Source organism: Homo sapiens, chromosome 1 (assembly GCF_000001405.40).
Source record: "Homo sapiens chromosome 1, GRCh38.p14 Primary Assembly".
Lineage (NCBI taxonomy): Eukaryota > Metazoa > Chordata > Mammalia > Primates > Hominidae > Homo > Homo sapiens.
This window is the reverse complement of record NC_000001.11, coordinates 110,630,005-110,643,920: the sequence shown is the minus strand read 5'-3', so window position 1 is coordinate 110,643,920 and position 13,916 is coordinate 110,630,005. Positions and strand designations below refer to the sequence as shown.

General features: G+C 46.9%; 1 protein-coding gene across 2 annotated transcripts in view, besides 3 other annotated features; it reads left to right on the top strand.

The window, feature by feature from the left end:
• Nucleotides 8,999-9,188: an enhancer, noted in NCBI's record as "active region_1474". NCBI's record gives its function as "activates an Ori minimal core promoter by ATAC-STARR-seq in GM12878 lymphoblastoid cells {active_cell/tissue: GM12878}" and the evidence as "EXISTENCE:reporter gene assay evidence [ECO:0000049][PMID:35858748]".
• Nucleotides 12,050-12,099: an enhancer, noted in NCBI's record as "active region_1473". NCBI's record gives its function as "activates an Ori minimal core promoter by ATAC-STARR-seq in GM12878 lymphoblastoid cells {active_cell/tissue: GM12878}" and the evidence as "EXISTENCE:reporter gene assay evidence [ECO:0000049][PMID:35858748]".
• Nucleotides 12,480-12,619: an enhancer, noted in NCBI's record as "active region_1472". NCBI's record gives its function as "activates an Ori minimal core promoter by ATAC-STARR-seq in GM12878 lymphoblastoid cells {active_cell/tissue: GM12878}" and the evidence as "EXISTENCE:reporter gene assay evidence [ECO:0000049][PMID:35858748]".
• KCNA2 (potassium voltage-gated channel subfamily A member 2) overlaps nucleotides 12,481-13,916 on the top strand; it is a 37,861-nt gene continuing 36,425 nt past the window's right edge. Inside the window, exon 1 of one of the 2 annotated variants that reach the window (NM_001204269.2) lies at nucleotides 12,481-12,526. The gene's annotated coding sequence lies outside the window, so the exon portion shown is untranslated. Of the gene's footprint in view, nucleotides 12,553-13,916 lie in introns of both variants that reach the window. The other variant, XM_011541398.3, reaches the window with a different exon arrangement.

Sequence of the window (13,916 nt, the reverse complement as noted above, 5' to 3'; positions counted from 1 at the left end):
TGGCTCAGCCACAGAGGCCACCAAACAACACAGCCCCCAACAAATGATTTATGGATAAATGAATATGGAAGCAAGAATCCTCCTGGTAGCCTCCCAAGAACTCCCTCCCTGCCCCCACCTCCATACATATTTTTAGATATTGGTTCTAGAATCTCCATTCTTCATCCCACTCCTCACTCCTGAATGTTGATTGACTCCAGGCAGATCGAGAAAGATCAGGACACACCAGAAATCCACCCATTTACAAGACATTAGATTAATTCACATGCTACAAATTCAAAATATATTATTAAAGGAAACTAGGATAAAAGGATAACCTTAATTCAGCACTTTACAGGTTACTGATCATTACACATTATCCCATGGGATGCATGGAACAGCCCCGGCAATCTGGGATTACTCCACCTTACAGTAGCCCAGGAAACTCTGTGCACAATTCAGACTGAAACAGAGCAACTAATATCTCCTGCATGCAAGAATTTTCCATCTCTCCTGGAGAATGGAATTACTATTGAAGGTTTAGAGGACTTTCAGTCTGTCTTGATCACACATTGTGACAGCTTAAACAATGCACTATCCCCATTAACACTTCAGTATTTGGGGGTGGGGGGTGAGGTGGGGTGGGAGGTGAGGGAGGAGGTGAGAGAGATCCATGTAAATACACATAAGCAGTTCTATGTCATTTCTGTTAATGGAGGGTAGATAAAGAAAAGATCATCCAGGAGTCATGTTTAAGGACTTTGTAATGCATCAAATATATTGGATTGTGTGGAGGCTACTCGCAGACATTTGGGGTAATTTTTAAAGCTTTAAAGGGATAGGAAGAGAAGCTAGTTAAAGAGAAAGCAGGCTGGGATTTAAAAATGTCCCATAGAACCTACAGATTACCGTGCCAGAGCAGCAACCATATTGCCTACATCTGGGAAACAGTGTTGACTCTAGTTCCCTCCCCCAGCTGGACAAACCTCATGCACAGGGCAGAGCTCAAGAACGCTCACATCATGGCTGATGGGATGGGCATTGCCAGAGAGAGAGCAGCTTCACTGGGCAGAGTCAGGGCCTCCTCAGACTGGGAGAAAATGAAAAATGAGATCAAAGGTTCTGGGTGAGGTTCTGGGTGAGGTTCTGGTGATCCACTTGATCACCAGATCCAGGGACGTTGTTCCTGAAGAGCATTCCCTGAAGCTGAACACTTGGGAAGTAAATTTAAAATGAATGAAAGGAGCTAAGTAGTCAGCATATGAAGTTTATTGCCCAAAATGTGTTACAGATTACAATGTAAACAGGTTCAAATCACCTTCAGGTGAATTCACATAGAACAAATCCAAAATAAAATATTAAAGAAAACTAGTATAAAAAGATAACCTCTGGCCGGGCACCATGGCTCACACCTGTAATCCCAGCACTTTGGGAGGCCAAGGCAAGTGAATCACCTGAGGTCAGGAGTTTAAGACCAGCTTGGTCATGGTGAAATTCCATCTCTACAAAAATACAAAAATTAGCCAGGCATGATGGTGGGTGCCTATAATCCCAGCTACTTGGGAGGCTGAGGCAGGAGAATCACTTGAACCCGGGAGGCAGAGGTTGCAGTGAGCCAACATAGTGCCATTGCACTCCAGCCTGGGTGACAGAGCGAGACTCCATCTCAAAAAAAAAAAAGATAACCTCTATTTAGCACATTCCAGGTTACCAAGTACTTAAATACATCTCCATAGACATTCAAAAAGGTAGACATTAGGCGATCATCACAGAGAAGAAAATTGAGACTTGGAGAAGACAGAACATGAATCCGAACTGTACACCAAATATTTTGGTCTGATATTCTCAGTATTCTTTGTGTTTACTGAGTTTGGGTGTGGGTAGGATAGAGAGTCCCTGATTAGGATGACTTAGCTACAAAGTCAAAATTAAAGAAATCTGTGGTTCTGGACTGTATATTTGCAGTTTTGACTGAAGGGTTTCATAAAGAGCACCAATGTTCACAACTGAGAATTGTGAAACCACAAGTTGCAGGGTTTCCTGTATTTAAGTCGACCATGCAGTGGTACCATGGAACCCATTTCTGCCAGTCATGAAATGCTGCCTTTCTCCTAGCATTATTACCATCTTCCCTCCCTACACACACACACACACACACACACACACACACACACACTCACAAATGCACTAAACCTCTCCTTTCTCTTCCCTTTTCTCTTTTGTTTAGTCACACACGATCTTTCACTTCTACTTCAGTTGCATTTATCCACTCAATGCAAGTATTTGAGCATCCATCCAGCTAAATCTCAGGGCCCAGAATGCCAAACTGTTCCCTCCAAGACTGCACTACCGACAGCCGAGAAAAGCTAATAGTGATGATAGTTAATACTTACTCAGCACCTACTCACAATGCACAAGGCACTGGGATAATAACTCCTTTGCATTCAGATTCCTCAATAGCTCACTCAGTCCTTACAACAATGCAAAAACCTTGAAAAGTGTTACTATCCCCATTATACGATGAGAATGTGAAGCAGAGGGGTCATAACTCACAGGAAGTCGTGTGGCTAGTGATGGTGCAGTTGGAGAAGTGCGTGCTTCTCCTCCTTCATAACCATTGCCTACCCAACATTTTAAATATATTTGATATTGTCTAAATTGTTTTCCTTAAGAATAAATGTTTTATATTGACATATTTTAACTGACTCATATTTGGTTCATAATCAGGCAATTCTATTTTATAAACAGTCTCAATCTTTGTTTTCTTACTGATCCATTTATATACACCCTCTCACACTCCGCATTTCTGCTACTAATACCAATTTCTTTTTTTCTTTTTTCTTTCTTTCTTTTTTTTTTTTTTTTTTTTTTTGAGACAGTATCTCGCCCTGTCACCCAGGCTGGAATGCAATGGCACCATCTTGGCACACTCCAACCTCCACCTCCCAGGTTCAAATGATTCTCCTGCCTCAGCCTCACGAGTAGCTGGGATTACAGGAGCCCGCCACCACGTCCAGCTAATTTTTGTATTTTTAGTAGAGACAGAGTTTCACCATGTTAGCCAGGCTGGTCTCCAACTCGTGAGTTTGTGATCTGCCCGCCTCGGCTTCCCAAAGTGCTGGGATTACAGGCGTGAGCCACCTCACCTGGACCAACTTCTTAATATTCTGGCTTCTCGCAGCCATCTAGCCTCTTTCTCTAGTTCTCTTTTCTGATCTTAATTCATGCATTAGGAAGATAGGCAGGACTGAATGCGCTTGGTATCTCATCTCTTCCCTTAATTCTACAAAGCCTCTCAGGTCTTCCCACAACCCTTTGCTCTACCATGCTCTCTCACTCTGCCCATCCCAGAACTCTATGCAGATGGCTCTTCCAGGTCACCAGCAGCCCAAAAGTAGCCTTTCCTTGGGTCTTACCTCCTTGACTTCTCCATCTTTTGGCATCCATCACACTGAACTGCCTTGCTTCTCCTCAGTAGCAATTATTCCTCTTCAGTCTTCTTCAAGGCTCCTCTCAGCTGCCTTTCCCCTCCATGTCCTGTCTCCCAGGCTCAGCCCTTAGTCCTTCTTACTTCTCCTATAATTTCTTCTCAGGCCATCATATACATTCCCATAGTTTAACTCTATTTGCCACTAACTCCCAAATCCATATCTCTATTCTTAGCCTCTCTCGCTTTAGCTCCTCCATTTCCAACAATCTGCCAGTCATTGCCACCAGGATGACTCACTGGAACTTCCCATCCAGACTGTCCAAGTAAAGCATTTTCTTTCTCCAGTGATTTGGCCCTTTCTTCTGACTTCCCTATCTCTAGCAGATACCATCATGCAGATAGTCACCCAGGCAAAACAAACAAACAAATGAACAAAAGTTGTCGTCTTTCATCCCTCCATCTTCCTCACTTACTGTAGTCTACTAGTTTTAAAATATAAAAAGATTCTACTCCTGTTCAGAAAGCCTTCAGTGGCCTTCCATTATCTGTTGATGAAGTGCCAACTCACCCTGCCTTTGCATCCCACACTTTCCAGTGATAGCCCAACACCCTTTCTCACCCAAGCTTCCTCCAACCAAAATAGACTCTGTCCTGTTCTCAAATATATGCCAAGCTTTTCTGCCTTTCTGTTCTGATGTATGCTGTCCCTGATATCTTCTTCTCCAACACTCAAAAGGACTTTCCTCTCTTCTTACAACTTAGGGTCTTCCTGAGTATTTGTGATATTTATCATGTTCTACTCCTTGTTTTTATCTGTCTGTTCCACCTCCTGAGGTAGAGGATGGGCTCCATACTTGAAGCACCTGTTTCCCCACCACACTTACATACCTTGTGCACAGCAGATCCTCATTATACTTTTGATGAATTGAATTCAGTTGGGGCTCAGCAGCTGTGTAAGAAGAACCAAGTTTCCAGGACCCTCTCCTCTCCTGAAACCAGGCAGATATTCTATTACTTGTCCCACTTTCTCATCTTAAAAATGGGCCTCTGTTTTTCCCTTATGGTCTGAACATCTACCGTTTACCTCTGCAAGCAGTGAAAAGTGGTCAGATCTTTGGAACAATAGTCATAGCTACTGAGCACTGCCCATGTGCCAGACACTGTTTGAAGCGCATACATGTTTTAACTTCTTTAAACCTCTCAGCAAACTTGTGAAATAGACACTGAAATTCCCATTTTACAGATGAGGAAACTGAAGCACAGACAGGTTAAGTGGCATGTCTAAGCATAAACAGCTAGTATGGAGGGAACCAGATTCTCAGGCAGGCCCCTGGCTCCAGGGCCTATGCTCCCACCATTTTGCTATAAGGAAATGCAGATTTGAAAAGAGGAGATTTTACTTGTAGGTCTTGATGACCCCAATCCCAAAACCCAGAGCCTGGTTTGGTCTTCACAGGTTTGACCTAATGTGTACATATGTGTATCTGATTGTGAGTGTATGTGCAGTGGAATTAGGGGAGAGCCACCTGTCTTTGCACTCTGCTCTTTAGCTGGTGTTGTTGTGTTTGACGTTATTTCCCCAACACAAGCTTCCTGGAAGAAGACGGTATCTTCCATGATTTTACTCTCCCACTGGAGTCTGATCTAGCGCTTGTCATCTAGCAAGCGACCCACAAGTTTAAGGCTGAATCACATTTTCACATATAAAGTCAGTGCCCAAGCCATGTCTCTCATTTGAAGCTTCTGTTGTCTGCCCCCACTTCTCCCAGCCTCCTGACACACACCCACTCTCTCACAGAGCAGGTGCACTTCAGCAGAATGTAAGCAAATCAGTGCTGAATGTCAAAACGGATTTTACTCAATTATTAAATTGCGAGAACCAGGAGAAGAGCAAATAAATATCCCAACAAAGTTATGCTATGAAATATGTGAAACCCACCCAGATCTAATATTTAATTTAGACTCAACTGTCTCAACAGCTTTCTACCATCCCAGATTCCAGCCAAAGGCCATCAGACATGGCTTGGGGTGAAAACTCGGTAGCTATACAGGCCTAATGCAAAGACCAAGGCTGAATGATGGGCCACCCCTCAGGGACAGGTGCCCACAGGCCAGAGGCTGAAAAGCTTCTCCAAAGATGCCAATTAGCTCAAGCACAAGAACCAAAGCCTGAGCTCTGACATCTGCATAAGTCAGGCTGCTGGGAGCTTTGCCTAATGATTCTGCAAGAAGAGGGGCTCTGAACCAGCATCTGCCTCCTGCTGCCCAGCTTCCTCAGCCAGCCAGAAGGGAGATACAAGCACCACCTAGTGCTGAGGTAAGGGGACCGGTCATTGACAGCTGCTCACTGGCTGTGATGATATTTTAAGTATCAAGGCTACAGTGAATGCCGAAGAGGAGAGGGGAGGGAGAATAGAGGAGTGGAGAAGCAGCAGGGGAAATAGATTCAGAGCATGAATTCCCAGCTCATTCAACTCACCCCACTGCACCCACCAGTCCTCAGCACTGGTGTCATAGCACCATCCTCAGAGGCCAGGAGGCTGGCTTCCTGCAGCCTCCAGGCCTGGTGAGCCCTCCCTCTCCCCCAAGCTTTTTCCCAGCCTGTCTGGCAGACATGCGGCATGTACTGCTGTGCTCACGGCCAGTAGACCCCTGCTTCCCCTCCTGTAGTGGCTCTCTGAGAATAAGGATGTGTCTGCCCTTGGCTCAGCATCTCAAGCACATAAAGCAGATTCTGCTTCCAGAACCAGAAAATACATGACAGTTCAAGACACAGAACTGACTCTCTCAGTCACTCCATGCCGCTCCAGCAGAGGGCTTCTCAGGGGCCAATGGAAACCAGCCACCAAAGGCTGTCTCATCAGGCTGAGTCCAGACCACCCGAAGGGAACCCATACCACCCAGGCCCCACCCAGGGGCAGACCCAGGACCCAGGCAGGTCCTGAAGTGCTGGACCACTCTGTCACAGAGCCAAAGTATGGGTATGGGTTTAGCTGTCTCCCATGGCTGCTCAGCCTGCAGAGCCTACTGAAGGGCCTATCCAGCTACCAAGGGAGGACATGCTGCCAGTGAGCTCCAAGGAGCCCTGCAGCAGAGCAGGAAGGGGCAGGGGAATGCTCCCACCCACCATCAGCTAGGGCTGGAACTCCAACTCACTCTGAGCACACTGCAGCCTCCCAAGTGGATGTAGGTTACTCTGGATGTAGGTTACTCCAGGTGACACATTCTTTTCTACAAAATTTCTTTCCAGATCAAATCTAATTTTATTTTATTTTTATTTTATTTTACTTATTTTTGAGACACAAAATATTTTACTTATTTTTGAGACAGTGTGTTGCCCACACTGGAGTGCAGAAGTGCCATCACGGTTCACTGCAGTCTCGACCTCCCTGGGCTCAGGTAATCCTCCCACCTCAGCCTCCCAAGAAGCTGGGAATACAGGCATGGACCACCATGCCTGGCTAATTTGGGGTTTTTTTGGTTGTTGTTTTTTTGGGGTTTTTTTTTGTTTGTTTGTTTGTTTTTTTGTGGAGACAGGGTTTTGCCATGTTGCACAAGCTGGTCTCAAACTCCTGGGCTCAAGCAATCTGCCTGCCTTGGTCTCCCAAAGCACTGGGATTACAGACATGAGCTACCACACCTGGCCTCAAATTTGATTTTAATGAGCATCAAGAGAAGCTCTACACCAACACCTTTGACTTGGTCATTGGGAAGGGCCCAAGGAGTACTGCTGCATGGCCCACTTATTTCAGAGTTCTTGGTGGCTGTCCCTCCTCTGTAGTCCTGGCTACCACCAGGTCATGCAGCCCCTCTGCAGGCCCAGCATTGGTGATAGAGCTCCCAAGGCTACCTCCTCCACTGTTGGACAGCATTTCACCAGCTAAGAGTTGGTGAGCGCTCATGGTGTGCTTCCCTCCTTGCCAGCCATTTTCCAGGAGTTCTTTAACTCATGGTAAGTATTATTATTATTCTCATATTCAGATAAGGAAACTGTGGCTTAGAGAAATTGACTCCTTTCTTTAAGGTCACAATAACTTAAAATTGGCAAAGCCAGGTTACAAACCCTGGGTTCTTAACTAGAAAAGGGTTGCAAACTACAATACCTGCAGACACCTGGGAATCAGCGAAACTGTGCAAATGTAAGAAAGGTGGAGGAAGTAGCACTTGTGAAAAACCACAGTGCATCTGCTTTATTCAGAAGAGGCAGCTGCCACCCACGTACCATTTATTGTTACATGAGAGAGTAGGAACTTGGGTGATCAGATCCTCCGATTTTTAAAAAGAGGCTATCCATATAGATTTGTAAGCATAATCTCCCAATTTGTGCTGATGACTGATGCAAGTTTTTTAAATCCCAGGGCAGAGCAGGCCAACACCAAGTGGGTTGCAGACCCACATCTGTGAGCAGGATTCAGGGTGGTGCCCATTGTGACTCTACTCTAGAGTCCAAGATCTTAACCATTAGACTTTACTGTCTTAAAATATCAGCTAGCTTTATCTCTGGTGAGTCACAATTTTTCTTCCTATTATCTCCATCTATTGGCCTCAGTTCTGTCATCTAGAGCAACAGGGATTCAAAAAACACTAGCCTCCTATGCCCTTTTCTAGGCTAAACATCCCCAGCCCCATAAGCATCCCCATTTTGGCTTGGTTGCAGGACCTTTACCATGCAGGCCCCATGATTCTAGGCACGCTCCAGACACACTCCCACCAGCTCACAGGACTCCCCACATCCACTGTGGAACTAAGTCCTACCCATCATGTCTGGTCTGTGTCAAGCAGAGCAAAGCAGGCTTCTAGCCCACTAGGACTCATCTGAGACTAGAACCCAAAGTCACCTGGCCTCCTTGGCAGCTAAGAATTTGCCTTAGTTTAATTGAAGAGATACTGACCCCCCAAACCCAGTGGGAGGCTTCTTGGCCTCTGCAGTGATTGTCAATTTGTGGGAAGTGACATCCCAAACACCAGCACTTTCCCATCATTGTCCTGATGGTCCACCCCTATCCTTGCAGGGACTGTTCCAGGGTCAGCCCTTTAACACCCATGGTTTTCAGGCCCACACCTGACCGATCTTCCCTTCTGAGAAGACAGCCATGACACCAAGAATCCCTCTTCTTATAAAACAAATCTCAAGCTCCTTCCAGTATCTCTGTCTCAATGTTGAGAGATTTTCCCACGATTCATCAGACCCACTCTAAGATTCACCCCCATTTCCTGATTCTCACTGTCCAGAAAATGCCATGTGCCAGACTATGAACCTGGCTGTAGCCACCTGTGGATCAGAAAAAAAAAAAAAAAAAGGGCGATGAGTCAAAGTAAGGATCCAGAGGGTCAGAGAAGTATCCCTGGTGGCTTAGCCAAAACCTCCACACCCAACAGCTATGGGCTTCACCATCTGAGTACCTCTTTTGATTCCAGTCCCACTCTCAACTTCCCTCATGAAATGAAGAACTGCAAATACGGTAACCTGCTATGGAAACTGAGAAAAGCAAAGCAGCCTATCTTTTATTCTCGCTCTGCCTTCTGGTCCTTCCCCGGGGCCACTGGGGCTGGAGCTGAGCCGAGCAGCTGGGTTTTCCCCTGAGCAGTGACTCACAGATGTAGTTTCTCTGGCACAAATCTTCAGAACAGTCCCAGCTGGGAAGTCTTCCTGGTGGCCAAGTGATCCCTCACAGCTGCCAGCCTGGCAACAAGGGATCCCAGCTGGTGCTAAGTGATGAAGAACAGGCCTGGGCTTTGTTCCTCAGCTAAAGAACCTGTCTGTTCCACTCACTGGATCCCAGATGTAATTCATCATCAAGGTCACTGAGGAGCACCCAAGCCCTTGGCCCATCAATACCACTTTAGTAAAGTCAGATTTCTGAGAGGCGTCACAACTACCACTAAAGAGCATCAGCTCATTGCCAAGTGCATTACAGAGGTCCTGGCACTACCCATGTTCCTGCCAAGTGCTTAGGCATTAAAATTGACTGGGGCAAGCAGAAGGGACACACTGCCAAGGATACACCCTCCAGTACAGGAAGGCAACAGGCTCACGCAGTGTCAGGGCTAGGCAAGATCATGATTTTTCACAGTTTTAGGCAGCAGAATCCTCTTTCCAAACAAAATCTCATGCAGAAGTCTAGAATTCTGGCAGATTCAAGGGTAGCTGCTCAGCTGGAGACCAAGGTGGGGCCAGGAACTGATCCCCTGCAGATTCCCTGTAATCTTCCCACCCCCCAGCTCTGCAACACCACCCAGGTACCTTTAGCCTCTTTCACTGAATCGCTGGGGTCCACCTGACAAGGCTGAAAACTTGCCACTCTGGTCAGCCTCTTGGCATTCAGAGGGGGAAACTGAGGCTGGTAGAATATGACATGCATTTCCCAAGGTCACATGGTGAATATGTACTACAAATTCAGGAGAATAAAAAGTCTTGTCAACCAAGCTTTTAGTGAACCAGAACATCTGTACAGACCGGCAGTCCATAAGGGTTGGAAGAGTAAGTGATTACAGACATAAAGTTAATTTTTATTTTGTCTCAGCCACTTTTTTGCTGCCTGTCCTCAGGCAAGTCACCCAAGTCCAGCTGGCCTAGGGCTGGATTACATCCAGTGGCCTTTTGAGGCATCCCCTGCTCATCTTTCATTATCTAGAACACGACAAGACCCCCTCTCAGAGCTGCCCACCCATTCCCTCCTCAGCCATCAAAGGCCTTGGCACCTGGCTCCCAGGCTTCCCCTCAAATTCAGTTATCACCCTGACATCCAGAATCCTGGGGACCAAAACCTTTGACCTTTTCCTCTCCAGGCTCCTACACCCTGACTCTGCTTGGGGACCCCACTCAAGGCCACATCCTGAACTTTGACGGGACTTGCACTCCTTGGGAATTTTAAACTCAAACATCCCACTCTCACCTCTCTGCCTTCAAGTTTCTTGCTTCTGAATCCCATATGCATGGTCTCTGGCATGTTTTTGATACCTTCCACCCTTGAGCACTGTCTTCTCTCCCCAGCCTATCAGTGTCCTGCTGTCAGCACTCCCACCAGTCCAGTAGCCCAGAACCCTTAGGCATTGCTTTAAGTACTTTCTTGCAAGATTTCCAACTCCAGCAACCCCCTTCCTGCTCCCTCACCAGCACAGTCCCACCCTGCATCAATAACATGGTGGCCTTTTCACTCCTTTACCCAGTCTAGGGGTCCCAATAGGGAAAATCCCATAGCCACAAGGAGAGGAAGTACTGCCACGTCCTTCCTTTTCACCAGGATCTGGGCAGAGTTCGGTCTGTCTTAGTGAAGACCTTTCAGTTCCAGGTGCCTGAGGACCCTAACCTCAGCCAGCCTCTGTACTCTCAGCCAAAGCCAATCCCAATCCATTCTCACCTCCTACCATCAAAGAAGTGTCCCAGGTCTGGGCCAGGCGAGGTGGCTGACACCTGTAATCCCAGCACTTTGGGAGGCCGAGGCAGGTGGCTCACCTGAGGTCAGGAGTCCAAGACCAGCCCGGCCAACATGGTGAAACCCCATCTCTACTAAAAATACAAAAATTAGTCTGGCATGATGGTGGGCTCCTGTAATCCCAGCTGCTTGGGAGGCTGAGATAGGAGAATCGCTTGAGCCTGGAAGGTGGAGGTTGCAGTGAGCCAAGATTGCACCATTGCGCTCCAGCCTGGGCAACGAGAGCAAAACTCCATCTCAAAAAATAAAATAAAAATAAAGAAGTGTCCCAGGTCTTATCTGAGCATGGCCCCTCCACCTGTGCTCTGAATCCCTTCTTACTTCTGCCCTCCAGGAATTCTCTCTCCTTATTTTCCTGCATCTTCAACTACTCATTTTGTATCTATTTCTCTCCATAAGTTTCTTCCATGTTAAAACAAATGAAAAACCTTAAACAAATAAAACCTTGTTTAATCCTACATTCCCTTCACCTACCACCTAATTTCATCATTTTATTTACAATCAAATGTCTTCAAAGAGTACCTATAAGCCCGTTCCTGCCTCCTCATTGCCCACTCACTCAACCCATGGAGCTCCGCCTCTGCCCAACATGGCTCCACTGAGACTGTGACCTCCGTGTTGCTTCCTCCAAATGACACATTCAGTCTCTTCTTGCCTGACCTCTCAGCTGCCTTTGAGCCAGCCTTCATCTGTGGCTTCCAAGACATCACTCTCCCCTGATTCCTCCTCTATCTATGGCTGTACCTTCTCCATTTCCTTTTCTGGCTCCTCCTTGTCTTTAGGCTTTTAAATGTTCCCACTTTTCTCTCTTCTCTTCTACATGCACCCCTACCCCCTGCATAATCTCATACATCTCAGAGGCCTCATCCGTACAGACTTCTAGATCCAGCCCAGGCCTATCTCCCAAGCTCCAGGCAGGAACATCCAAATCCCACTGCACTCCCCACTCAGGTATCCCATGGACCCCTCAGACTCAACAGGTCTACAGGGCTTGTTTAGCCTACTGACTCCATCCCTGCAGTATCTCTTTTCAGTTCATACCCACATCTTCTCTGTCTGGACCACTGCAACAGCTTCCCGGCAGGTGGTCTCCCTACCCCTGCAGTCATTGCCCCCTCAGCAGTCCATCCCCCACAGCAGCCAGAGTGATCTTCCTTAATAGAAAAATCCAGTCATGTCACCTCTCTGGCTTAAAATCCTTTAAGTTTCCCCTACCTCCAAAGTAAAGTCCAAATAACGTTGGCAGAGCCTTCTAGACCTTGTAAGATCTGGTCCCTGCTACCCTCTCCATACACTTCTCTTTTATTGCTTGCACACTGAGCTCCAGTCATAATGAATTACTTGTACGCAACTCCCTTCGCCTTCCCTGTTGTCTCCTGCCATGTTTTCCAAGTGCTGATTGCTCTTTCTAACTCTGCATGGCTAACCCACCCCTGCTAGTCTGCAGTGCTCAGTTTCTGTTTTAAGAGAAAAACCCGTTCTTGCACTCCCTGGCTGGGGTGACAGGAAACACCTGAAGATTGTTGATGAAGCATCATGCAACCAGGTCACCTAGAACCTGAAACCCTTTGAGCGCTGACCAAGAAAGGAAGTGGTGATGGGGCACATAGAAGAGTGAGCCATCATCTGGTTTCCAGCGCCAAGACTTCTGCAGGAGAGCCTCCGCTGGGCTTTCAAGTTGGTGAGAGAAGAGGAGGGGCAGCAAGGGTGAGCATGCATGTGTGGACATAACAGGCAGGGAATGATGTGAGCAAAGACAGAGAACAGGAGGTGACTGGTAGGCCATTGCTGGGGTGCAGCAAAGAGTGAGGCGAGCTGCGATGGGGAGACACCTCAAGGGCCAGACAAGGGATTTGACACCTTCATGAAAAGCAACCCGGGGATCAGTAATGGAATGGAGGCTAAAGGAAGGCACTCCAGGTACTCTGCGAAGGATTGTGAATGAGGACCTTGCAGGTGTGAAGTGACTCTAGGGTGAGGGGATGGGGTCTGAGGCTTGGAAGTGGAAAGGAAGGGACCAATCCCAAAGCATTAAGTGTAACTCCCAAACAGCCGACCAAGGCCAGACCTGTGCTTGAGACAGCAGCCCTCCTGCACGGGGCGTTGTCCATCCGTGGGCTTTGTGCTGCCATCTGGTGGTGGTGGAAAGGAAGACCAGGCTTAGTGGTTCCGGGGCTGGCTGCCTGGGGTGTGGCCAGGGGGACAGATGATTGTGAGTGAATACTGGAGTTTGCTGAGGCTCTTTGGGGAGTGAGCAGGGGGAGGCAGTGACAATGGGGTCCTCAAATCCATACAGCTTTTGAAAGATGCAATTTCTTGGCACTTTTGATTGTCCCTTTTTGCACAGCACTTAGCATAAGGTCTGTTTCAAAGTAGGTGCTTAGTGTCTGTTGTTTTTCTCAATTATAATAATGACTTAACAATTACTGAATGCCTACCATGCGCCCAGTGCTTATGTATTTTATCTAAGTTATTCTTCATAACAACTTTGAGATGAAGATGACATGATGATTTTGGGTAATAGGAGAAAGAACTGAAACCATGAATCCATTGAACAGCTTGGTAAATATTTACTGAGCACCCATTCTGTGTCATGCTGTGCTGGGCACTGGGGACACGGAGGTGAGTGCCACAAGTAGGTTCTGACTTTCTAGAACTTGGAAGAGAAAAGGGATGCTATGCAAATAATACATAGTAACTCATTTATTTTAATTGTAACTAAATATCCTAAAAAGGAGAAAAAGTACAGAGCACTGGCCGGGTGTGGTGGCTCACACCTGTAATCCCAGCACTTTGGGAGGCCGAGGTGGGCGGATCACCTGAGGTCAGGAGTTTGAGACCAGCCTGACCAACATGGAGAAACCCTGTCTCTACTAAAAAAAAATTACAAAAATTAGTCGGGCATGGTGGCGCATGCCTGTAATCCCAGCTACTTGGGAGGCTGAGGCAGGAGAATCGCTTGAACCCAGGAGACAGAGGTTGCGGTGAGCCAAGATGGCACCATTGCACTCCAGCCTGGACAACAAGAGCAAAACTCCGTCTCAAAAAAAAAAAAAAAAAAAAAAAGTACA